Source organism: Homo sapiens, chromosome 11, assembly GCF_000001405.40.
Source record: "Homo sapiens chromosome 11, GRCh38.p14 Primary Assembly".
Lineage (NCBI taxonomy): Eukaryota > Metazoa > Chordata > Mammalia > Primates > Hominidae > Homo > Homo sapiens.
Genome location: NC_000011.10, coordinates 27,717,065 through 27,742,452, shown reverse-complemented (window position 1 = coordinate 27,742,452; position 25,388 = coordinate 27,717,065). Strand labels below are relative to the sequence as shown.

Below are 25,388 nucleotides of genomic sequence, written 5' to 3'. Positions count from 1 at the left end.
AAGTAAGCAGTGCACAGATCGTACTTCCTGCTGCCTTGGAAGTAGTTTTCAGAGTTTAGACAAAACAAAAAACAAACAAAAAAAACCTTATGTTTAAAAGAAAGATGATCTAGCTACAACATGGGGAAGGGCCGAAAGCCTCTGGATGTGGTCCTTATGAAAACAAGTACATACTTCCGTGGAATATCTTATCTTTGCATAAACTTACTTAGCTGGAAAAATATCTTTTGCCCACTGATTTTTCTTGGTTGACAAAGTGGAACGTGGGATTAAAATAACAGGGGTCTCTCAAAGCTTGCAAAGAAAGAAACAATATTTTCTGAAGATTTAATTGTATGTTCCAGGCAAGCCGGATGAGAGCAGAGATGGAGAAAGTTACCAAAAATTGAAAGGAATCTGGCCAGAGTATGCATTTGTCTAGATGCAAAAACCTATCTAAAGAGAGAACTGATTGTCCCTGTGACAACAAACAAACAAACAAACAAAGCAAATGTTGGTGCTGTGATTCTACATACTATCCAAGAGGGAGAGAATCTTGCCCAGTGGACTTTGAATAATATGGCACCATTGCAAAATCATTCCTGTAGTGGAGACAAATGCTTCAGACCAATTATCTCAACCCTGATAACCAAGAGAATCACATATGGTTTTTAAGAGAAAACAAATACAAATGTCTTGCCCTAATCGTAGGTCTGAAATGGATCCCAAGCTTCTGAAAATTTTGTAGACTCCAATAGTCCCAGAGACATAGCCAGAGTGGAGAATCACCACTGTGTCAGGTAATCTTAGCCTGACATTGGAATAAATTTAATCTCTTTATACAGATTCTATGATCATGCTACAATCTTCTGCTTATAATTTGGTTTCACCTGTAGGTCTTCACGGAGGGAAAGAATGTGCTGATTCCTGCTACACAATTATTCCAGGGCAAATGATAACTACATTTCTTTTTAAAAATTGATCAACTAATATTGGCAATTTATATAACAATCTTGATATGCCCAGTTAATATAAATCTGACTTTGAGAGAATAATACTTCTCTCTATGTAATGACAAATCGGGTTTCAGAGGCTGTAAGTCTCAAAGCTCAGATTCTGGATCATCTAACTTCACCAAGATAATGTCATCATTTGAAGCTTTGTAGGGGTTAGCTAGCAGGAGTTACTAACTGATTTTTATTAACCTTACACAAATGCTTTATTTCCCTCCAGAAATTATCAATCAACAGTATTTTAAACTGAAGCACAAATAGTAGTGGTTTAGAAGTGAGATTCCAGGTACTGGGACATTGAACACATTCTTTAATGAGTCCTCTGGTTATACTTAAACTATTAGCCCCACTTACCTTAAAAATATTGTTTTCATCATCAAGGGAAAGTGTTCCCTGCAGTGTATTAAGCTGTTCTAGGGTGAGAGGGAAAATATTATAATTTAAAAGTGGAAATGAATATAAAAGATGCATCATAAACTTCACAGACGCAGCAGCAGGTACTAAAAGAGGTCTTTATTTTATTAAAATATTAAACGACTATTCAACTGAGTAAGCTCAGCTTCAGTGGGTATTGTTCTGGCTTTGTAACAGCAGTCGTTACCCTTTTTCAAATGTAAATGGGGGGTATCTTTTGTCATCAAGAAAAGTTGCAAGAAACAATGGAGAACGGAAGAAATGTCATAAAAGCAAATGGAAGAAGCACAGAGGTGGATAATTCAGCTGCAACATCCTTGAAAACGTGCCAAAAATCTTTATCTACTGAGGGAGCTGCAGTGGGGAATGAGAAATCTCTTATCCCAGAAAGGAAGGCTTCTTGTTTTCCTGCAGAGCTGGCAATGGGCCAGAGTAGCCATCCAGAGGAAAATGGAAGAATAGAGTTTGCTAGAAGGAGTCCCAGGTGAAAGCAAAGAGACTTGTGAGTGAAAGGGAAGAAAACAATCGCTTGCTGTTTTCCACCGCTTTCTAAGGAAGGACAGTGCTAGATGCAGGCTGGGTACCTGCAGGTCCTTAGGACTTCCATAGGAGATACCCCCAGAAGATAAAAGAAAAGCTGACACCTCTGTAATGGCTCAGATAGCAAAAAGAAGCTTGACCTCTTAACATTCCAGCTATATGTGTACCCTTACCACATAGTCCAGGTCTAAGCCGAAAAGAATGGTCACCCCACAGCACCAATTTGTATGAGACCTCCATTTAAACTGGTGTTAGAAATATAGAAATAAAGTAAGGGAGAGGACATGGCATTTTTTTTTTCTCAAAATGCATCTCTCTGGGCTCACAATATGGCTAGTGAATGAGTGGTCATGCAAACAGATCTGGGAATTAGAAAGCCCTGACTTTGAACACCAGGTCTGCTGCCTACTGGTTGTATGATCTTGTATACATTACTTAACCTCTCTGGGTTTCCTTTGCCTCATTTATTAAATCAGAAAACAATATATTTTCCACAGAGTTGTTATAAAAGTTAAATAAGGTGCCCGATACACGGTTTGGCATAGAGCATCCTAACCAGGAATGAAATGGTAGTAGGGCAAGAGAATATTTTGAACTGTGATCCACTGTCTTCCCCACTCCACCTCCACCACTTCCACCTCAACTCCCCATTTCATTTCTTCACATAGACTCTGTGACACTTTCCTCAGCCCTGGCAGCTGCAGTAAATTCCCCCTTTGCCTTAGAGAAGGTTGTGAGCATGGAACTAAGGAAGAAAGTAACTGATTGGCTCTCGAGTTTCAAGAACTGTGATCTAAGTGTTACTCAACAAAATATTTATAAGAATAAATGATTACATTTTATTTTCTTTCTCCACACCAAGTAAATATTCCAGGACTGAGAAGAGAGGATGACTGTTGAGACAGACAGGATTCGAACAGAATAGGGAGAGACAGCTGAAGGTGGCCAAAGTACCATTTGTTGTCAGCCCAAAGCAGTCACCAGCAGAGAACTGGCTCAGTGCCCACATATAGTTCCCTTTCCATTCCTGGACCCCTGTGCATCACCTGACTTGAGCAGCTATATTAGCTTTCTTCTCATCAGCTAGTGAGGTCCACCCAATGACAGCAGCCAACATGTCATCCAAGGATCACCCAATGATTGTCTGAAAGTGATCCCCATTTTTTCCCTCAAGACTTTGTTCAGAACTATCCAACCCATTCTGCAATTCCCCTCAGTGACCAGAACACTCATTGGTCCAGGCAACTTAGATGGGTGATAGTGGTTCAAATAGAAGTCCTTCATATCTAGCCAAGATATTATTTGGTGGAACCAGATGGAAAACTAGCACTGAAGGAGGACAGTGTGGCACTCCTGCACTTCCTATATTATAACAACTATTGTCATTTTAATTTATACCCATAAAATCCCCAGGCAAATTCTGACCATCCTCTATTATGAATTTAATCTCAAGAAGCAAAATAAATCTACTCAGTATTCTATGATTGTAGGAAAAACCCACTAGCTAATAAACAAATAAATAAATAAATAAATGGTCTATTTTCTGACTCCTTGAGCCATACAGCTGGAAATAAAAAGGCCCATTTCCACAGTAGCAAAATAATCAATTACTGTCCTAAGCCATCCCTAAAATGTCAATGAGTCTTTAAAGGATCCTGAAGCTTACCTTTGCCCCTCTACTTAGCAAGGCTCCTACAATGGCTTCTTCACAGTTCAAAGTGGCTGGAGAACTGTCCATAGATTAAGAAGGGAAAATCCAGCTGGCCACGGTGGCTCATGCCTGTAATCCCAACACTTTAGGAGGCCCAGGTAGGCAGATCACCTGAGGTCAGGAGTTCAAAACTAGCCTGGCCGACATGGTGAAACCCTGTCTCTACTAAAAATACAAAAATTAGCTGGGCATGGTGGCATGTGCCTGTAGTCCCAGCTACTTGGGAGGCTGAGGCACGAGAATCACTTGAAGCCAGGAGGCAGAGTTTGCAGTGAGCCGATATCGTGCCACTGCACTCCAGCCTGGATGACAGAGCGAGAACCTGTCTCAAAAAAAAAAAAAGGAAAATCCATTATCACTAAACCAGCTTTAAAAAGTTATGCAGAGCCAAGTGCAGTGGCTCACACCTGTAATCTCAGCACTTTGGGAGGCTGAGGTGGGCAGATCACCTGAGGTCAGGAGTTTGAGACCAGCTTGGCCAACATGGCGAAACCCCATCTCTACTAAAAACACAAAAATTAGCGGGGCTTGGTGGTGCACAGCTGTAATGCCAGCTACTTGGGAGGCTGAGGCATGAGAATTACTTAAACCTAGGAGGCAGAGTTTGCAGTGAGCCGAGATCGTGCCACTTCACTACAGCCTAGGCAACAGAGCCAGACCTTGTCAAAAAAAAAAAAAAAAAAAAAAAGGCAGAAGAAGAAGGTCAAGGATGGCTCAAGAATTTTCTATGGGGACATGGAAAATAATTTTCAAAATTTCCAACTTGCCCCTGAGAATTCAGGTAGCCTGTGATGCTCCTGGGTTTTGCTGCACATGAAACACTGGACATATGAATAAGCCAGAAAAAGCAAGTAGGTATTCAGTGAAACAAAGCAAGTAATAAGGTGTGAGTTTTCCATGCAGAATGTGCTCTAAGAATAATGTTGGGTAAAGGAAGCATTTGTGAAGAATGCCTGTGAGATAAAACATCGTCAAGCAGTTTGGCTTGACTTCTATCTTCCTTCCCTTGATGGGTATTATAAAGAGAGTCCACAGGGCAAATTTTGGAACAGGATGTATCTGAAGCCTTCCTAAATGAACTCCAGTATTTATGACACTAATATAGTACAGAAAGTGTTGAAACTCTGTAACACATTGTACATTAAAATCTTGACCCTCCTCTTTCCTTAACCAGTATCATACTGTACCACTGTATCTTTCCCCCACTTTTTCTTCATTCTGTTTTCAACTGATTGTAAAGGGAATTTGAGCTACATTTTAGAGAAAATAAGAATGCCAATAACTGGTAGAGTGTGAGCATCATAAAGCCAGTAGCCAGGTCTGTCTTTTTCACTGCTCTAACCATAGCAGTGTCTAGTTCATAGTCAATCTCTACTCATTTATTCACTCACTCATTCATTCATTCATCAGTCACTCTGCAAGCATTTATGGGGTACCAACTAGACACAAGATACGTTCCAAGAGATTAATACATAACAGGGAACAAAATAGATGAAGTCCCTGCCTTCACAGGGCTTGTAGTCTGATAGAGTGATTCAAACAATAAACAAAGATACAAAATGTCAATCATTGATAAATACTTTAGAAGAAAATAAAGTAGAATACCATTCTAGGAAATGCCAAGGGGTGCAGGGCAAGAGGAGAGGACAGACAGTGGGGATAAGGTGCATTTGAGGTGGTCAAAGAAGACTTCTCTGACAAAGTGACCTTTAACCAAAAATGTGAGAGAGTAAGAAAATGAGACATGTAGTTGTCAGAAGCAAGTCTCTAGCAGGCTGAGAAGGGAACTCATAGGTACTGAAGAGGGACATGATTAAAGAATTGTAAGACAGTCAGTGTGGTTGGAACAAAATGAGCGATGGTGAGAGTTGAAGGAGATATAGTCAGAGAAGTAGTGGGAGCCTTGAGGAGGAGGAAAATAATGCAGAGCCTCACAGATCCCATAAGAACCAAGCTGTAAGTCTTATAAGAATGCCAGCTTTGTGCCAAATGAGGTTGGAAGCCCCTGGAGAGTTTGAACAGAGGAGCCACTTGACCTGGCTTCTGTTCGGAAATGATCTGAGTGCTGTGCTTTGGGATACTGTAGACACACTACTGAAAATGGGCCAGGGTGGGAGCAGGTAGGCTGATGGAGAGCTGATAAAATAACTCAGGTGAAAGCTAACGGCTGGCGCAGTGGCTCACGCTTGCAATCCTAGCACTGAAAGACTGAGGTGGGCTGATCACTTGAGGCCAGGAGTTCAAGACCAGCCTGGGCAACATGGTGAAACCCCATCTCTACTAAAAATAAAAAATTATCCAGGCATGGTGACACAGGCCAGTAGCCCCAGTGACCTGGAAGGCTGAGGCACGAGGATCGCTTGAACTCGGAAGCAGAGGTTGCAGTGAGCTGAGATCATGCCACTGCACTCCAGCCTGGGTGATAGAATGAGACCCTGTCAAAAAAAAAAAAAAAAAAAAGAGAGAGAAAAAGAAGGAAAGGTAATGACAGCAAGGACCAAGTGAGTATGGGGGTAGAAAGTTGTTGGTTCAAAGATAGAGGGCTGGCAGGGTTTGTTGATGGATTGGACATGGGGTGTGAGAGGAAGAGAGGAGCCAGGATGACACCAAGGCACTTGGTGGTCAGCAACTGATTAAAAAAAAAAAAAAATTAAGCCCAGAATTCCCTCAAAGGAAAAAAATGAGCTAGAAAACAATGAGGCTCAAAATTGTCTGCTTAGTAGTACATATGCCTACTTTATTTTTTAACAAACACCATACCTATGGCCCTTTTGCTGATGCAGTATTTCTCTTTGCATTGTGTGGATATCCATTGCATTTTAAAAAAATTTTAGGGGTTCTAAGGAAAGTCCTTGCTAAATTGAAATGCCTCACTTTTAAAAATACTCTTCTATGATTTGTTTAACTATTAAGGATTAGATGTTCTTTAAAAAGCTGATCTAAAAGACAATCAGATTTCTTTCCATTAAGGTAGAAGAGGAAAATCAATATTATTTTTTCCCACATCAAGTGGAGGGGAGAGTCATATAGTAATTTTAATTTCCATATTCTTCCCATTCATTCCCAGTGGGTGCTTTAATTTTATTTGTTTTTTTTACTTTCAAATGCTTTTTCTTGAAAAACCACTCCTTTCTCTTGTCCTGCTTCATCTCATACTCCAGTGAAGGCTCCCTAACTATAAATAAAATGGTCACAAGATTAGGAGAATTTTCACTAACTATAATAATAATAATAATGTACTTAAGGTCATAACAGGAAGCTCCCTGTCTGGAGTGACATGGCTGAGCAATGCATAAAACTCTGGCACAAGGTCAATAACCACATGGGAAATCTTTCAAGGGGCACATTGCGTGCTTTGTGTGGCCACTTGAATGCTTCCTCAACTTCATCCAAATGTACTGTTATGGAGCTGGGTTGCTTGGAGGGGCTTCTGTGAGTCTGTAAATATGCCAAAATTCTAAGCAAAATTTGGAAAGTGCATATGTTTTTTAGAAAAGAGATTCCAGAAGTCCAAAAATAGTTAAGAAGACCTCCTACAGGAACTTTACTTTCTAATTCATGACCATACCTTTCTTCCTTTCCTTTCCTTTCCTCCACGTCCCATTTTTATTTATTTTAACTCCAGATATAATTTATGAAATTGTTACTTTTTTCCAAGGTATACACTATCCATGTCAAGAAGCAGCAAAGTAAGAGGGTCATATTGGTATAGCAAGTTTTTTAACACCTGTATTTGGCCAAAGGAAGTACTCAGTAAACATTTGGTGATGGAAGGAATGAACCGTCTATTTAAAACAGCAGGGTCATTCAGCTGTTAAGCAAACCTCAGGTTTGGGTTTGATTTGCTGTCATTGTATTCACAACCTGGCTTTTTAAAGAGCTACAGATGAAGGAAGGAATTCATTTTAATTCTGAAGTTAAATATTACAATAGATAGCAATTGGCACAGACATCAAAGGAGTGGAAAAAATTTCATCATTATGAGGAAAAGGATGTTATTATTATAACCAAAGTAAAATTATTAGATGCAAACCTATTATAGCAGCTTCTAATAAAATAAAGCCCAGTAAAATGGGTTAAATTACCTCCCTAATATTAAACAAATGATTTTACAGAGCTTTCTTGCTGTAAATGGGTATGAGGGCAAGTCATGGCACATTAGTGTTCTGTTACTGCATTCCATAGCAAAGGCAGAAAATAAACAAATAAATGTCATTGTGATCCCACAAGTATTTATGGAGCTGCCTCACTTTCCAATACCTTTCACACAGGTTCTCATTCCTTTATTAGACTGAAAGTTATATCAAGTCAGGTTGGGGATGTTTGAGTCTCCAGTGTACAACCCACTGGAATCTGTATTTATTCTACTGACTAGATAACACGTGTGGCCCTTGAAAACTTTTAGAGCCAAGATGGTGTACCTATGAGAAAGAGTATTTGAATTTTTATCTCATTTCATTCTCCTCCTATAAACACTGAGATCATTCACTATGAAGGAGTTTTCATATCATTCAAAGTAACTGTCGTCAGCACTGGAGAACAAATTATAAGGCCCTAAAATAGTTTGGAGATAGTTTGCAGGAACAGCCTTTCATCCAAAGGAATTATGTGAAATTATACGATGCCTTAAGTGTTAAAAATTATTGAACCTCAGCAAAGGTACATAACCCTTTATAAGAAAGAATAAAACAGCTTACAAATGAGGTGACATCTCTGTTTAAAGGCCAAGGACAGCAGTGTAAAATAATTTGGGATGGGAAGCGAAGCTTACCTTATTCAATTGAAGAGTTCAGGGGAACTCAAAGTTGTCAGAATGCAATTATCCCTGCTGAAATTTGGTCAGGCCAACATCTGACACTTCCAAGGAATGCTGAAGGCTTTTTTAATGAACATGAGGCTTCCAGATTGGATTTCACCTCAATTCAAGGCATAAAACCTGCACTCTGAGAATATAGAGTTCAGAGATGTTAATTAGTTCACTACTGTCAGGTTCACAATTGCCCTTCTAGGGATCAATAGATTTAATGCCTTCATTTCACAGAAGAAAACTGAGATCTGGAAAACATCATGCAATAAAGAAATGAGTTAGTAACTTTGCTTTTGTGCACTCTTTTATGTTCCTAAATCCATGGGTTCCTCAATTCAATTCAATTCAACAACTACTTATTGGTTCCTGGTTTGCAACAGGCCCCTTGCTGAAGTCTTGGTACAGAGATGAAGGATACCTGGTTTCTGCTTTCTGACAATTGCTACTCTGGGTGGAGGGATTGATATGGACATTAGTAATTTTTCAGAAGGCAGAATGTATAATGAGCTAAAGAACACTTACAGGGCGATTGGAATATGCCAGAAGGAAAGAGTCCCTCTCTGGAGGAAACTGGGAGAGATCCCTGGGGGAGGTCTGTCTTTATGTGTTTCCAGAACCCCACCATAGCTTCCTTCTGGGTTTGTCCTCTTGGTCAGGGTCTCTGCTCTGCCATTTCTGAGACCTAAATCTTAGTCAAAATTTAAGATAAGTCTCAAATTCATTCTTTCAAAATTTGCTGAATTTTGGCTTGGCAGTAGGGGTGGATCCAGGTTTTGTGAGAGCTGAAGTATATACAATTTGGGGGGAGCCTCTTTAAGAAAAGAATACACTGTTACAGATACAACTGTAGGTCCAAACACAAATCTCGCAAATATTTATTTAGAATAAGAAAAGAGGCCAAACGTGGTGGCTCACACCTGTAATCCTAACAATTTTGGAGCCTAGTCGGGAGGATCACTTGAGCCTAGGAGTTCGAGATTAGCCTGGGCAACATGGTGAGACCCCCATCTCTACAAAAAATAAAAAAAAAAAAAAAAAACACAATTAGCCAGGTGTTGTGGTGTGTTCCAATAGACCCAGATACTTGGGAGGCTGAGGTGGGAGGATCACTTGAGCCTTGGGAGGTTGAAGCTGCAGTGAGCCATGATCTTGCCACTGCACTCTAACCTGGGTGACAGAGCTAGACCAAGTCTCAAAAAGAAAAAAAAAAAAGACAAGAAAAGAAATCACAAAAAATTGTTGTAGACTTAGAGGTTACGTCTCTTTCTTCTTCAGTCTCTTTGTCAATCTGCAAGAAAGGCTTACATAGAAATACTTCCTGAATGCTCCCTGGCTTCTAACCCTCCACCCCACCCTCAATACTCTGCAGCTCCTGGACACTCCTATCTCTTCAGGAGTCTGTGCAAGTGAGATGTTTCATTAGCTTCACGGTAAAGCTGCCTTTGCTTGGGCAGATGACTGGCTCAATGTCACATAGTCAGTAAAGTCGTCAAGCCAGGACTGAAACTAGGGTCGTTTTAGAGAAACGAGTATGCATTTTGGATCACATAGACCTGGATCCAATCCTAGCCCAGGCACTAACTACCTGTGTGACTTTATGAAAATCATTTCTCAGTTTCACTTTCTTTCTCTCTTATATAGGGATGATAATAATAAGCTCACAGGCCAGGTGCGGTGGTTCACGCCTGTAATCCCAACACTTTGGGAGGCCAAGCTAGGTGGATCACCTGAGGCTAGGAGTTTGAGACCAGCCTGGCCAATATGGCAAAACCCCGTGTCTACTAAAAATACAAAAATTAGTCGGGCGTGGTGGTTGGTGCCTGTAATCCCAGCTACTCAGGAGGCTGAGGGAGGAGAATCACTTGAACCTGGGAGGCGAAGGCTGCAATGAGCCGAGATCGTGCCTTTGCACTCCAGCCTGTGCAACAAGAGCGAAACTCCATCTAAAATAAAATAAAATAAAATAAAATAAAATAAAATAAAATAAAATAAAATAAAATAATAAAATAAAAGGCTCACAGGGCTGCAAAGTACCTGAATTGCCTACCACCACTCCTGACTTGAAATAGTGCTCAAGAAATTGTTAACTGTCACAAAGATTACTTCTTTTCCCCAGTAAGCATCTCTTCTTCCTTGATAATAGAATTAACGTACTAGGCACATGCATGTCAAGTTCACATTTCCCACCCTATGTAGGAGCTAGATTTGGCCTTATGACTAAGTTTTGGGCAACAATGTATAAGCAAGAGCAATTTGTCCAACTTCTGAGAAGTGTCCTTAAAGTAATAGGGTGCATCCTTCCCAACCAGTCTTCTTTCCTGATAGTGAAGAAGCAGCAGTCATGTTATACCATGAGACGACATGCAGAATAAAACTACATACAGCAGAAGATAGACAGAAGACAGAAAGAGCTTGGGTCTCTGACACTATAGAACATCATATGGCTCCAGACCTACTTGTAATTTACATGGAAGTCAAATTTCTAACACATTTAATCCACTGTTAGTTTAGATCTGGAAGGACTTGTAACCAAAACTAGTTCTAAAATTTTTTAAATCACATGCTTTTTTTCACTTTGCTGTTCTGTTTCCAGTTTGTAATGTTTTTGCCTGTGTTAACCTTGCCAGGTGTAACTGGAAATTTAAAGGATATCGAGTCCTTAAACTGAAATGCCATAACTTGAAAAAGCCAATGGTGAGATTTTAGCCTTCTGGCAGACCGAGGAGGGCTGCTTGTTTGGAAGGGGCATTTCATCCAACTCCACTGGCAGTCATAGGCAAGATGACCTGGTTTCATCATGATTATCAGCAGCAGCAGTGGCATCACTATTGCAGTGAGAGTGGTTACCATTTATAGGATGCTATCTGCCTAGCAATAAAATATCTAATTAACACATTAAGTCCTCACAAAACTCCACACAGCAGGTGTGATTATCCCTATTTTACAGATAAGGAAAGTGAGACTCAGAGATGTCAAATTATTTGTCTGAAGAAACCAAGTGACTTGTTAATGGCAGAGCTTACCTGAATCCAAATCTCAGTCCAAACCCCAATCCCTTCATAATGGCACCTTACTTTCTCCGTGAGCACAAAACAAGACCTGGTAAGAATGAGCCTGTACAGAATTAATGTGGTCACAAATGTCTAGTAAATCAGTTCAGAAACTTTTATTACATCATTGTAACACGTTAACAAGCACTGTAACAAAACTTAGTGGCTTACTCAACAACCATATTATAGCTGATGAATAAGAATTCTGGCAGGTCTTGGCTAGGCAATTCTTTCATTTCACATGGCACTGACTGGAGTCACTTAGTGACCTTCAGCTGGTGGCTGGTCTGGTCTGGAGTGTCCAAGTGAGTTGTACTCACATGCCCAGCATCTCAGCAGGGCAAAGTGGAAGGCTGGGCTCAGTTGGGCCTTTCACTCTCTCCATGTAATCTCATCACTGCTTCACATTGCATCTCCAGCAGGGTAGTTGGACTTTTTACATGGTGGTCCAGGGCTCCAAGAGCAGGCATTCCATGACACAGGAAGAGTAAGTGAAGAGTCTCCTAAGGCTTGGAACCAGGAAACTAGAAGTGTAACTTTTGCCTTATTCTATTGGTCAAAGCAGTCACTGAGCCCACCCGAAAGCAGGGGAGGAGCAGATACAACCCCATTTCTTGATGAAAGAACTATCAAAGAATTTGCAGTCAACTGCAATCCCTCCCAATACTAAACTTGTTGAAGGAAGTTTCACAGAAATTGGAAGGCAGATAATTGGGCCATTTGAAATCTGTATTTGTTTGCTGTAGCTGCCAAAACAAAAAGCCACACACTTGATGTCAATAACAGAAACTCACTTTCTCACAGTTCTGGAGACTGGAAGTCCAAGATCAAGGTGCCAACCAGGTTGATTTTTTCTGAGGCCTCTCTTCTTGGCTTGCAGATGGATGTCCTCTTGCTGTGTCCTCACATGGTCTTTCCTCTGTGCGTGTGCATCCCTGGTGTCTCTCTCTTCTTCTACTTTTTTTTTTTTGAGACAGAGTTTTACTCTCGTTGCCCAGGCTGGAGTACAATGGCACAATCTCGGCTCACCGCAACCTCAAGCAATTCTCCTGCCTCAGCCTCCCAAGTAGCTGGGATTACAGGCATGTGCCACCACGCCCAGCTAATTTTGTATTTTTAGTAGAGATGGAGTTTCTCCATGTTGGTCAGGCTGGTCTCGAACTCCCGACCTCAGGTGATCCGCCCGCCTCGGCATCCCAAAGTGCTGGGATTACAGGCGTGAGCCACTGTGCCTGGCCAGTTTCTCTCTTCTTATAAAAAAATTAGGTATATTGGATTGGAGCCCCACCCTAATGCCTCATTTTAAGTTAATCACCTCTTTAAAGACCCAGCTCCCAATACGGTTACTTTCTGAGGTACTGGAGGTTGAGACTTCAATATATTAATTCAGAGAGGACACAATTCAACCCACAACAAATGTCAAATCTAAGGCCACTATATAAGTGGAAAAACTGAGGCCCAGAGAAAGAAAATGGTTTGCCAGCGTCAGACGATCCAGCTTGTAACACAGTCAGCATCAATGCTCTTTCCCTCCCAGCCCCCTTCCAACACATCAGATGATTCCAAGAGATGTCCTGTCTTACAGGAGGTAGGAAATAGAGTACAGAGACAGGGAACACCAAGAAAGGCCCAGCATTAGGGCCAGAGATTCCTCTTTTTCTCTTGAAATTTCAGGCTTCTCCCAATTGTCTTTATTCCAAGTCACTGGGTTCATAGGCTTCTCAACAGGCCCAGATCTCTGGACTGCCCATTCCTTTTCCCATTTCTTGGCTGACATTTCTGGCATTCAGGTCACTATTTAGATTCTGAATCACAGTAATATTGGAGAATATGATGTCCTTGTTTCTGCCTTAACATAGATCTGTCAAGACTTTGGGAACATCTCCACAGTGATCTGCACACTCAGGCCCATTCTGGGACTTTGAGTCATCGCATTAGTGCCCCCTAATTTGCAGTGTATACCCCATCTTCGATTTGCTGCTTGTAGATTTCAAGAATAACCTGCATCTTAGAAGCGAATTGGCCTAGGTTCTGTCGAGGCCTCTTCAAGGATGCATCTGCTACCTTCTAGGATGGAGGTGGGGGAAAAGGAGGCTCCAGAAGTGGTTTAAGCCTCCCCAGAACATACGGCAATTGGTGATCACCATTGTTCTTCAGTCTCTCCTTGCATTGCAATCTATGCTGCTGTGCTGGATAAAGTTAGAAAACAAGTCTTCCCAGAGATAAACAGAAGCAGTTTGATTCTAATTCATATAGGAAAATTATATTAAGTTTCTATTACATAGCAGTCAAAGTATTGGGAGAGAGGGAAGCAGTATAGTTAAGTGAGACTGGCTTGTCCCAATACTGTAACACAAGCAAACTGCAACAAAAGCAAAAATGTATGTATTCAGAAAGGAAGAAAGCAAGAGGGGTAAATATGGTCCAGTGCTTAAAAGCATGAACTTTAGATCTGAAAATCCTGAATTTTAATTCCTCCTCTACTACTTACAAGCAGTGTGACTATGGAAAAGTTGCTTAACCCACCTAAAGTTAGTTAACCAACTTTCCTACATTTTGGGGAAGTTTGGGTCAACTACCTAAAGCAGTGGACATAGAGCAACTCCCCTCAAAGGCTGTCCAAGTAAAAAGACACAGAGCTGAATATCAATTTTGACAGAGGACCAGAGTAGTGAGCTAACTCATGGAATAATTGACATTTTCCACATAGCTCACTGGTGAATTTTCAGTTTCCCGAAAGCATATATGCTCCAGTACCATACACGTAAAATCTGTATGATTATCAACTCTATGAGCTTTATATTCCCCTGCTGTAAAATTATGGGGTAGCCCAGGATGGTCGGCAAGTCCTTTCATCTCTGAGATTCAGGGATCAAATGAAGATGTTGAGGTCTCATATGCGAAGTCATGGACAGTGCTTTTCTACCAACTGAAAAGAGAATCAGCCCTGGCACAGTGGCTCATGCCTGTAATCCCAGCAGTTTGAGAGGCTGAGGCAGGCTGATCATTTGAGTGCCAGAGTTCAAGACCAGACTGGGCAACACGGCGAAACCCTGTCTCTACAAAAAATGTAAAAATGATCCGGGTGTAGTGGCATGCACCTGTGTTCCCAGCTACTCGGGAGGTTGAGGTGGGAGAATTGTTGGAGCTCAGGAAGCAGAGGTTGCAGTGAGCCAAGATCGAGCCACTGAACTTTAGCCTGGGTGACACAGCAAGACCCTGTCTCTAAAAATAAATAAATAAAATAAAAAGAGAATGTTTTCCAGGATTGATGAAGAGGAAAAAGTAATTTAGAGGGAAAACCCTGCATATTATAACTATTTACATTTCTTTGCTGAATTGATGGACAAAATGCCATTTTGGGATGAAGAGGAAGCAGAGATGTGATGTGTTACAGAAGCAGAACCCTTGAGCTTGGGGAATGTTGGTAAAGTTCACCATATGCCTTGAGTGCAGGGCTTCTATAGGATTAATAAATGCCTGTTTGAAAATGTTCTCAATGAAAAACGACATAAGATCCCCTCTGCCTCCTCATTTTCTCTCTCTCACTTATTTCCTGATCCCAATCTAGTGTTTACCCCTCCTTTTGCGAGTAGTGGAGTTCTGCCAGTAGGAACACTGCTAACTGAGGGCCTTTAGAAAAGCTAGAGCCATTCTTCTGGCCTTCATTCCTTGCCAGAATCCTTCTACTCTTGTTTCCATAAGGCACTCTTGTCTCATCCTATTACTTCCACTACTTTTAGAATGATATCACCTCAGTGAGGTACCATCTTTTCTCTCCTTACAAAAGAAAACAGACCTAGTTTCCTTAACCTTTCAGCAGAAGCAAATTCCCCAAATCCCTCTGTCATTCTGGTTGCCTTCTGCTGTGCTTTCTCTAGTTCCAAAATATCCTATTTATAGAAAGAAACCCAGAATGAGCTCAGGACTCAGAATATGACCTAACCAATCCTCTTTACATGACTAGAATAATTTTCCCTGACTTTTCCATTGTGCAATGTGCCCAATATATTCCAAATGGATTCTCTTTTCTTTTACTCCAATAGGTACAAAATGATAAATGTTCAAACTATAGCCAATGTTACTGATAATAAGAGGTTGATGTCCACTGTGCTTAAGAACTTTCTAGAATTAATGGGTTCAGGAGCAAATTAGAGTCTGTGGTTTGTGTAACATTAGAGTTAAAGGAACAGGTCTTTTCCTTGAATTATTTTTTGTTATATAGCATTCACTTCAGTTACTAATGAAGTGTATTAATGAAGCCATAATGCAAATGAAACCATAGGCTGGGGCAGCAAGCTTTAGTATTTTGCTGTGCAAAATGTGGCACAACTTCATATCACCTGGGAATCTGTTGAAAATGCCAACTGTTGATGCTGTCCCCAGACTTAGAATCTGCTTTCTAAAGAGTTGCCCAGGAGATTCATGTGCACATTAAATTATAAGAAGCACAGTTTAGCATCTGTGAAAGTTTCCTTCCAGATGTTCTAGGCAGATTAGATGTCAAGCACACCTTGGTAGGCCCTATCATGATATAAAATTGGCTCTTTTTACTAATTTTCACTTGCCTTTCCATGATCCTAAGTTTTGTGACTCCTTGGAGTTTTTATTTCTCATTTTATCCAATTCCTAATATGAACTTACATTTAGTTAAGTACATCTTGCAAGTCCTGACCTGACATGCTCTTGACCCATCTTAATCTCCCTGTCAACTTTTCATATTAACAATGTCACTTCTCTCTTACTTGCTACCCATACTTCCTCTTATTCATCTCTTTTCTGTAAGATGGTTTAGAAAGAGTCATTCAGTTCTTCCTCAGTATTCCATGTGGTCTTGCTTCAGCCTCATTATAGGGTTGTCTGGTGTTCTGAAATTGAGTTAAGTCATGTCCAGATCTTCTGTCTCATGCTTGCTTGTCAGGCTCAGAAATGCACAGAGGTTATTGCAAACTAAATCATGACTTTCCCAAGGCTTTCTCTTGCTTACTTCTTTTTGAAGTTTTGATTGTTTCCTTTATAACTAGGTTTGGTAGATTGAGGATTCTTTGAGTTCTTTTTAAATATGAGCTCAATACCAGGTTCTTGGCAATCATTGCCTATTCTTGCTTTCAGAAGGCTTTCCAAATTGTGTGTCGTGATTCTTTGCCTCTCCTTCTATTACCTGTGGAGAACCATTAGAGATCAGGAAGTGACTAAGAGAGCCAATCTTTCTTCCTACCTGGTCAGAAGCTCTTCTTATATCATAAACAGAAGGCTTTTGCTACCTGTTTTTTGTTTTTTAGGCTCCAAGATAGCAATTATATCACCATCAGGAGCTTCTCTGTGACTACTCTTCTGCATTGATTGTAACAAGTGATCCTGAGGTAATGAAGGGGAAGGCACTGTTGACCTCTCAGCTATTATTAACCAAGCACTCTTTAACTTCTGAGATACTTTAGGTAGAGAATTGTTAACATGTGGATCACCAGTCCCATCAGAGTCCCTGGCACAGAATAAGTACTGAAAAGGAAGGAGAAGTAAGAGTGGGAAGGAAGGATGGAAATAATCTATCCAACTCCAGGTGAGATGGAGAGCCTGGAAATTAACTACAACCAAATAGATTTGGAAAGACAAGTTGGGAGAAAAGAATGGAAGTACTATCTCATCTTTGTCTTCCTTGATATATAGTAAGGAATACACAAACCATCCTATTAAAAGTGACTTACTGAATTTCCTTTTAGAAATAAAGACAGTGGACTTTGTCTTAAGAGGTACTCCAATTATTTCTTAGTTTTCTAAGAAAAAGGAGTTCTCTTTCATTTCTGACTTTGTAGACTCCTGCTTTGTTACCCATCTCCCACCAATTCCAAGACTACACATCTACTGAGTGAAGTTTTTGTGCCTCCTAATACTGATGAGCCTCGTATTAATTTTTGAACCTATCTTCATAAAGATGTGGGCAAAGAACAAGCTTTATAACTGTGGCATAGGTAGAAAACTGTGAATATTAAACAGCTCATCTATAAGGAGTGCAATACCCATATTTTGAAAGCAAAAATCCTTCCTTCTAGGTTGTATTAATACATTTTGCTTTAAGTTTGGTCATGTTGTTAGGTAGTGATCCTTAAGGAATAAGATTTGTTCACTATTCAGTCTGAAATGTTCTTGCCATTACTAAATATAAATGGGGTCAAATGAGCCAGAGAAGTGTGATATTCATATCACAGCTGATTGGGGTTGTATGAAAAAATAAGATAACCCCAGGAATAAGTGCTACTGAGATGAAAATTGTGACACATACAGTGCTTGGCATCTATCTTAACAAATGAAATTATGGCAATCTTTACTTACATTAGACACTGGATTTCTGCAGATGGAAAAAAATTATGTAAGTGAGTGGATGGAGATAAAAGGTTGGAGAGTTGATAGTGCACCAAGAGAAGAGAATTGTCTATCAGATCACTGAGAAATCCAAAGTGGGAATAGGTATATATAGATATATGGCAAACACCATATCTTCACCACTCTCCCTAGCTCCCTATATCAACCCTTATTATTTAGCAACTCTTGTCCATCATTTTGGTCCCTGAGTTGGAGGTTTTAGTAATGGTTCCAAGAAATAAGAGCACTGGTTAAACATATTTCTTGGGAAATATCTTCAGTACAATCATGTGTCTAAATGATTTCAAACTAATCAGTCATTCATGTTCTGAATCCTCAGGCACCTACACCAACAATTCAGGGTATCCCACTGTAAGATATAATTTTCAGAATAAAGATCCAGCAGAGGAGTAGCTGATAGTTTCTATACAGACCACAAACTGTTGACAAAAGAGTCAGAAAAATATATCACATTGATGGCAATGGGGAATAATATGTTCATATACAGTGGTCATCTCCTTATGTCTTTTCAAGATTGCAGATCTGTGCTAGTCATTGAATTTGTCAGTAGGCAAGGAAAGTTATTAACAGCATTATGGATTCCATTCTCAAAAAACCAGTTTTGTCCACAAAGCCTGTACCCCAAGACCTCTGAGAATGGTATGTACCAGCTGTCCCAGTCTTAGGGCAGCATCTGCTGGCTAATTCATGGATGGACAAAAAGTGGCAGTTTGTGGGCAATTTGAGCAGTCCTTTCATTTGGCGAGAACTGTTGTGTTGATGACTGTGAGGGTTTCTGAAATCCTTTCATAAGGACCCATCTCAGGTCTCCAGGAGCCTGGCAAATCTAGAACTACTCCTAATGAGAACCAGGAAGCTTTTGTATACAGATATTTTATCTGGAGCCTAAGATAAGCCTGTTTGACTTTGGAAACATTTCTAGAGAAGCATGAACTCAACACTAGACTTACTGCTAATAATAATAACCCAGTACCAATGGGGGCTGCAATGAACAGAGGTCCATGCACATAATTGGGAAGTAAAACTTATTTTCCATAAGGAAGGCATTTCTGGGATGGGAGAGGGAGGACCTTGAAGCAGCCACTGAATGCTTATGTTCTGTTGCTTCTAATCATCCTATCGTGTAAGTAAGATTTTTCTACATAAGCAAGCAAGAATGATATTCAAACAAAGCACTTTTGACTGGAATAAAGAAACTGGAAATTGGAAAGGGCTGGGTGGTCTGAAACTTAAGAGCTATCCACCATCTTCTGCAGCATCGCTGTGCCTCATCCCTGCAGTCAATAGCGCCACGGCCAGGGCCTGTGACGCCGTTGGTGGGCTCCCCTTGGTGGGAACTCAGAGCGAGTAAAATCATGGTGTCAGTGCCAAAACGACGAAACCTGAAATGCGTCTGGGGACTTCCCAGGGCACTAGCGCTCCTCAGAGCGACGGACATCTCCATAACAACTGGTCTACATTCATCCCTGGTTCTTCTGCTCTGCTGTGCTAGCGATGGCTGAGGGTAGGCAAAGGGCAGCTTCAGTGGAAAGATACCTTGCGTTAGCGCCTCCCTAGGCTGGGGGACGTTGCCAAAGCTCGAGTTATTGCCTATTTCCCGAGATTTCCGGAGTCGTCCCCACATCTCCCGCGGAGAGCGGCGCCCCTCCGCCCCCCCTCCCGCCTCCCCCTCTATTAGACACTCCAAGGGGGTAGTTTGTTTCATTGTGCTTTTTTTCCTCTTCTCAAAGTTCATCCTTTCGCCTCCAAGTTACTTTCCGCCAACACGTGACCTCTTCGCTTCCCAGCTTGCGCAGCCACTGGTGGGGAAGCGCGGGCGCTAACCGCAGGGCTTCCTGGGAGAGCCCCCTCCGAGGTTCGCCACCCCAGCCCTGGCTCCCGCCGCGCTCACCCCGGCACCCCGGCGGCGGGGCAGCCCCCGCAGGATGAGGAAGCGGCTCCGGGGAAGCAGCACCGAGCAGCAGCGGAGCGCCCAACCTGCCGCCTCCCCTCCCGTCCCTGCCTTGGCCCGCGGCTCCGCTCTCCGCGGCTCGCCTTCCGACCTAGCTGCGCACCGGGGCTGTTAACTCACATTTGGGAAGCCATAACCCATTAGAGCAAACGCAGTCATAACTTCATTCAACTCAGCCGCTCGAGAGCTCGGCTTACACAGGTTCCTGTGGGCAACTAGTGGCTCGCCTTGGTGCCTCTCGCCTAGTCATCAGTACCTAAGAGGAAAAGGGAAAGTTGTTGGGCTGGTTCGCGCTTCGACGCATGCAGATGTTCCCAAGGACAAGTCACTTACTCGCCCCCCTCCCCCCAGTCCCCATTTGATCATCACTCACGACCTCATCGGCTGGAGACCCTTAGTCATGATGGGGGAGGGGGAGGGGCACGAACTTTTCTAAGAAGTTTCCTTTTTTTACCCAGAGAGTCACAGTGAGTCGGTCACGTAAACAGCGAGGTTAGTCGTCGCCGTTGCCGCCCCCCACCCCCTCCCTGCTGCGCTTTTCTGGTATTATTATTAAAGCGGTAGTCTGCCGGCGCTGATAAGCAACAAGTTCCCCAGCGGTCTTCCCGCCCTAGCCTGACAAGGCGAAGGTTTTCTTACCTGGCGACAGGGAAATCTCCCGAGCCGAATTCAGCTTCGCCGGAGCCCCAGGTGTGACCTGCGTAGTGGGCAAGGGAGCGGTGTGCAGGCTGAGTTTTTTTTTTTACAGGGGTACCCTGAAACTCCTCACTTTCTCTGGGAACTTTCAGTGCCAGGACCCAGTAACGGGCGGTTAGAAGGCAGCCCTAGGAAACACCTGCTACATAGCAGGGCAGTTGGGCAATCATTGGTAACCTCGCTCATTCATTAGAATCACGTAAGAACTCAAAAGGAAACGTGTCTCTCGGAGTGAGGGCGTTTGCGTAAATCTATAGGTTTTTCGACATCGATGCCAGTTGCTTTGTCTTCTGTAGTCGCCAAGGTGGTTGAGAGTTTAAGCTTGCGGATATTGCAAAGGGTTATTAGATTCATAAGTCACACCAAGTGGTGGGCGATCCACTGAGCAAAGCCGAACTTCTCACATGATGACTTCAAACAAGACACATTACCTTCCAGCATCTGTTGGGGAGACGAGATTTTAAGACACTTGAGTCTCCAGGACAGCAAAGGCACAATGGTGAGTAGCAATAAAACCTGCATTATAATTGAAAAATCTTGACATGTTGCTTAACAACGGGCATATCACGGCTCTTCCTAGCACTTCACACGCCAAAGAACAGCAGCTACTCAGGCCAGGGGAATCGGGTTTTTACACAGTGCAACTTTAATTGGAATCATTTGAGATTTGACACAGCTATGTGGAACTGCGTGGAACAAACTTGGAGCTGGGTGGGGGGGTGTGTGTTATATTGGTTGTTCAAGGCTGATGCTTGTCTCTCAGCAGTCTTGCATTCTATTCTTTTCCTTAATGTGTATGGTGTATGATCATATTCTATGATTTATATGTGGGCATGTAATTGACATTTGCAAGGGGGTTAATTTCCATCTAAAAACAATAATGCTGTTAGAGGTTGGGGTTAGGGGGTGGAGTGGGGGTAAGGGTGGGGTAAAGACTGGGAGTTTAGGTGTAGATGGGGGGTGGGGTTGGGGGGAGAGAAATAAGTCAGAAGTGCATATCACCGGTAATGGGTAATCCTCTCGTAGAAGAAAAGGTTCTCATCAACATGTGATCAACTATTAACAGGATGGCTTTGGCAAAGCCATCCGCACGTGACAAACCGTAAGGAAGTGGAAGAAACCGTCTAGAGCAATATCAAGTATCACTTAATTAGAGATTTTTAAGCCTTTTCCTCCTGCTGTGCCGGGTGTGTAATCCGGGCGATAGGAGTCCATTCAGCACCTTGGACAGAGCCAACGGATTTGTCCGAGGTGGCGGTACCCCCAGGTAGTCTTCTTGGCCCCGCTGTAAAGCCAACCCTGTGTCGCCCTTAAAAAGCGTCTTTTCTGAGGTTCGGCTCACACTGAGATCGGGGCTGGAGAGAGAGTCAGATTTTGGAGCGGAGCGTTTGGAAAGCGAGCCCCAGTTTGGTCCCCTCATTGAGCTCGCTGAAGTTGGCTTCCTAGCGGTGTAGGCTGGAATAGACTCTTGGCAAGCTCCGGGTTGGTATACTGGGTTAACTTTGGGAAATGCAAGTGTTTATCTCCAGGATCTAGCCACCGGGGTGGTGTAAGCCGCAAAGAAGGTAAGCACCAGGGCGGGGACCCCTTGCATCCCCAATTCTTGAGCTATTTTGATACTGTCTTCCGGAGAGGACGCGTGGTGGAGGGGAGGAGGTAGAGGGAGAGCATGAGAGGGGGTTGTTTCTTGGTATTTGCCCAGTTTGAATTGCCCTAGGTGAGAACCCTGGGGCAAAGGGAGAAAGAAAAAAAAGAAACTCAGTCTTCCTGCGGATATAATGAGTTTAGTTAACTTGGACCTGCAAATGTCTGATTCAAATGTAAGATTTATCTCTCTTTTTCTCCTCTTCACCTCCCTCTTTTCCGTTCTCTTTGCTGGTGTGTGTGTGTGTGTGTACAGTAGATTCATTACTAATTATGAAGCTTTTGCAAAACATTCGAATTCCTAAAATTTGACTTTGTAGCATTTAGAATCAGGCGGTGGAGGTGGTGTGCGGTGGGGAGAGGAGGTGGAGGTTGGGAAGAGGGAAGGAGGTAAAGCTAAACCTCCAACACAAAAAAATGAATCAAGGTAATTTCAGCTCTTCTAGTGAGAAGGATTCATTCTCTCTGTATCCCTCCCTCCCTCTCTTTCCCCCTCCCTCCCTCCTTCCCGCCCCCCTTCTTCCACCCCGCCCCCTCCTCCAGCCTCCATCCCTCCCTCATTCTATCTCTTCCTCTCCGTCGCCCTCGCTCCTCGCTGGATGCTTCTTTCTGGGTTTTCTTTTTTTTTTCCCTTCTGTCCTCCCTCCCCGCGAGTTTCGGGCGCTGGCTTAGAGGGTTCCCGCTTTCTCAAGGGAAGGGGAGCTGCCGAGACCGCGCTCCGCTCCCCAGCCGGGCCGGATGCCTCACTGAGCCCAGGTCCGAGTCAGTCGGGGTAACTCAGGGAAAGGGGAGCCTCCGCCTGGGAGTAGAAGGTCCTTTCCGGACCGAAGAGCCAGAGAGCGGGCCGGGCGAGGGGGCCTGGGCGGCTGGAGGCGGTGGAGAAGAACACTTTTAGCTCCGTGCGGCGGCTGGACAGAGCCACCAATCAGCTGGACGCGCAGACCGCCCTGCCAGGGCGAGGTTGCGTCCGGAGGCGCCGGTGGAGGGCGGCCGGCTAGTCGCTGAGCCGCCGCCGCCACCCGGGTGGGCAGGGGACTGGCGGTGGGTGGAGGTGAGGGGCTTGGCGGGTGAGATAGAAGCGGCGCGGAGCCGCCCAGACCTGTGTTCTACCTCTCCCGCCCCCGCCTGCACCCCCGGGGGACAGCGAACTGCCGGAACGCGCGGCTGCGTTATCCTCTTGCCACTCTTCAGGGAGCTCAGGGACTTAGGCGCCCCTGGGCGGGGGCCACCAGGCTCTCCACACTCCTATAACCCTCACCCCCACCCCCTTCTCAGGCCTTTTGTTCCGGCCACAGAGCCAAGCCCGGTGGCAGTTTTCGCCCCAGGGTTTGGTCGTTCTGGACTCCTCCCCCGATCAGCTCTTCTTAATTAAAAGGCAAGAGCTTGGGGTAGGGGTGAGGGGAACGTAGGAAAAATCTGTTTCCGAAACTCAAGACCACTGTTTTAACGAACGAAAGAAAGAATCCCAACTCTGCGCAGGTGGATTCATAGGCGAAGCGAGGATATTGTGGAAATTCAGAAGGAAAAGATAAAAAACAGGCGCTAGGATCAGATGACGGTGATAGGCTGCTCGGCACACAAAGGGAGCGTAGGGCAGGGTTTACGGAGCAAGCCTGCAGCGAATGGGGCACAGATTGTTCCGAGATCCAGTCGTTTTCTCAGTCAGATCTACGCGAAGGGAGGGGAGGGGAGGGGCGGGCAGGGGAGCGTGGCGGGAGGGGCTGAGCTTGGGGGCGGGGGGATTTCTGATCAGTCTGATGCAATTCCAAGCGTGCTGCAAAGGAACTCCAAGGCGCCCGCATCACCATCGCCACCCACCCTTCCCAGATGGTGCTGTTTTAAATACGGATCTGCAGGGCTGAACGCAGAACTGGGAGATTTATTGCAAAATCCCGGGAGGGGCGGGGGGGGGTGGTGTGCGGAACGGGGAATGGAGGAGCAGAATTTAAAGGTGCAACGCTTGCTTTTTCCAATCAGGCGGCAACCGGCCGGAATTATTATTTTTTTCTTTCTGTCTGCTTGTCTCTGGATTCTAATTCACCAAGAAAGAGGTGTAAATATTGTGACATTTTGAGGCAGCTTGATGGATGGGAAAGAAATCATCTGTCACTCTAAATTGCAGAGTTCCCTCTCCCCGCGCCATCCCTTGCTAGCGAATACTCGCTGCTGCCTAATACAGTTGCTAGGGCTTCAAATGAATGCATCGTTAAGGGAATATTATCCTTTTAGTTGACTTGCCAATTTAGTTGACAGTTGAATCGAGAAAATTGTAGATTTCGTGTCTCTGGGAGGAAAAATGCTTAACAGTCTAAGTCTTGTAACCTTGAGGTCTTTAACAACTTAAATAAACCTCAAAAGTGTCACGTCATCCTCTACACACACACACACACACACACACACACACACTCAACTTGTAAGATGACATGGTTTCACCTAAACTGTTGTGGAAATGAATAGCACTTTAAAAATGGTGCACCTGATATTCACTGTTTATGTGTATTTACAAAGAGCTCTTCAGCATGAAGGCAAGACATTTCAATTGTCCTGTTTGGAATCAGTCAGAAGACTAGAAGGTGATGGAGAGAAGAAGGGAAGAAAGAGGAAAGAGAGAGAATTTTAACCTAGATGCTATTAAATTAACAGTAACCTAGCCTACTTTTATACCCCTTGGTCTTGCATATTAATATTTCTGTATGTGAGATTTTAGCTTGGTCTAGCTCCCCCAATGGAGTATACCAGTATTGATTCAGATGAGAATATGAGCATCCTGCCAGTAGCTTTTTCAGTGTCATTGATAGTAAGACCTACAACACAGCAATTTTTGGAGGATAGAAGAGAATATATATAAGGGCTTTGCAAACTGGGAAGCAGGCACTCCATAAATGGGAGGTATCATTATGACATTCTCTTTGCACATATCATTTTCATTTCACTGAACCAGAGTACTAGTTATTTTAAAACATAATCTAATGTATATGCTCAAGGTAGTAAGTGGGGATTTTAAAAGCAAGTGATTAGTTGGCTTATAAAATATTATTTTTCAATTGTCTATTAATGTACATTGGAAAGAAGGCTTTTAAAGATCTAAAATCAACATAAATAAGCTTCCCCTTTCATTTGCCAGACTCTTTCCCTATCAGATTTCTGATCTAAATTCTTAATAAGAAGAGAAGCTGGTGAATTTAGTTTCTTTCCTTTTCCT

The 25,388-nt window shown here is 43.1% G+C and overlaps 1 protein-coding gene and 1 long non-coding RNA gene across 6 annotated transcripts in view, besides 2 other annotated features; one reads left to right on the top strand and one right to left on the bottom strand.

The window, feature by feature from the left end:
* Positions 1,244-1,935: an enhancer, noted in NCBI's record as "OCT4-NANOG hESC enhancer chr11:27762065-27762756 (GRCh37/hg19 assembly coordinates)". NCBI's record gives its function as "activates a minimal SCP1, AML or CMV promoter by ChIP-STARR-seq in primed H9 embryonic stem cells {active_cell/tissue: H9 hESC(primed)}" and the evidence as "EXISTENCE:reporter gene assay evidence [ECO:0000049][PMID:30033119]".
* On the bottom strand, positions 11,616-20,211 carry LOC124902652 (uncharacterized). Its single transcript, XR_007062633.1, has 2 exons — positions 19,967-20,211; positions 11,616-16,675 (listed from the first exon to the last, which is right to left on the bottom strand). It is a non-coding gene; the product is annotated as an uncharacterized LOC124902652 (long non-coding RNA).
* Positions 19,965-20,473: an enhancer, noted in NCBI's record as "H3K4me1 hESC enhancer chr11:27743527-27744035 (GRCh37/hg19 assembly coordinates)". NCBI's record gives its function as "activates a minimal SCP1, AML or CMV promoter by ChIP-STARR-seq in primed H9 embryonic stem cells {active_cell/tissue: H9 hESC(primed)}" and the evidence as "EXISTENCE:reporter gene assay evidence [ECO:0000049][PMID:30033119]".
* BDNF (brain derived neurotrophic factor) overlaps positions 20,423-25,388 on the top strand; it is a 67,138-nt gene continuing 62,172 nt past the window's right edge. Inside the window, exon 1 of one of the 5 annotated variants that reach the window (NM_170731.5) lies at positions 20,423-21,041. In NM_170731.5, the coding sequence (NP_733927.1) occupies positions 21,039-21,041 (3 nt within the window). In that variant the 5' untranslated portion in view covers positions 20,423-21,038. 5 annotated transcript variants of the gene reach the window in all.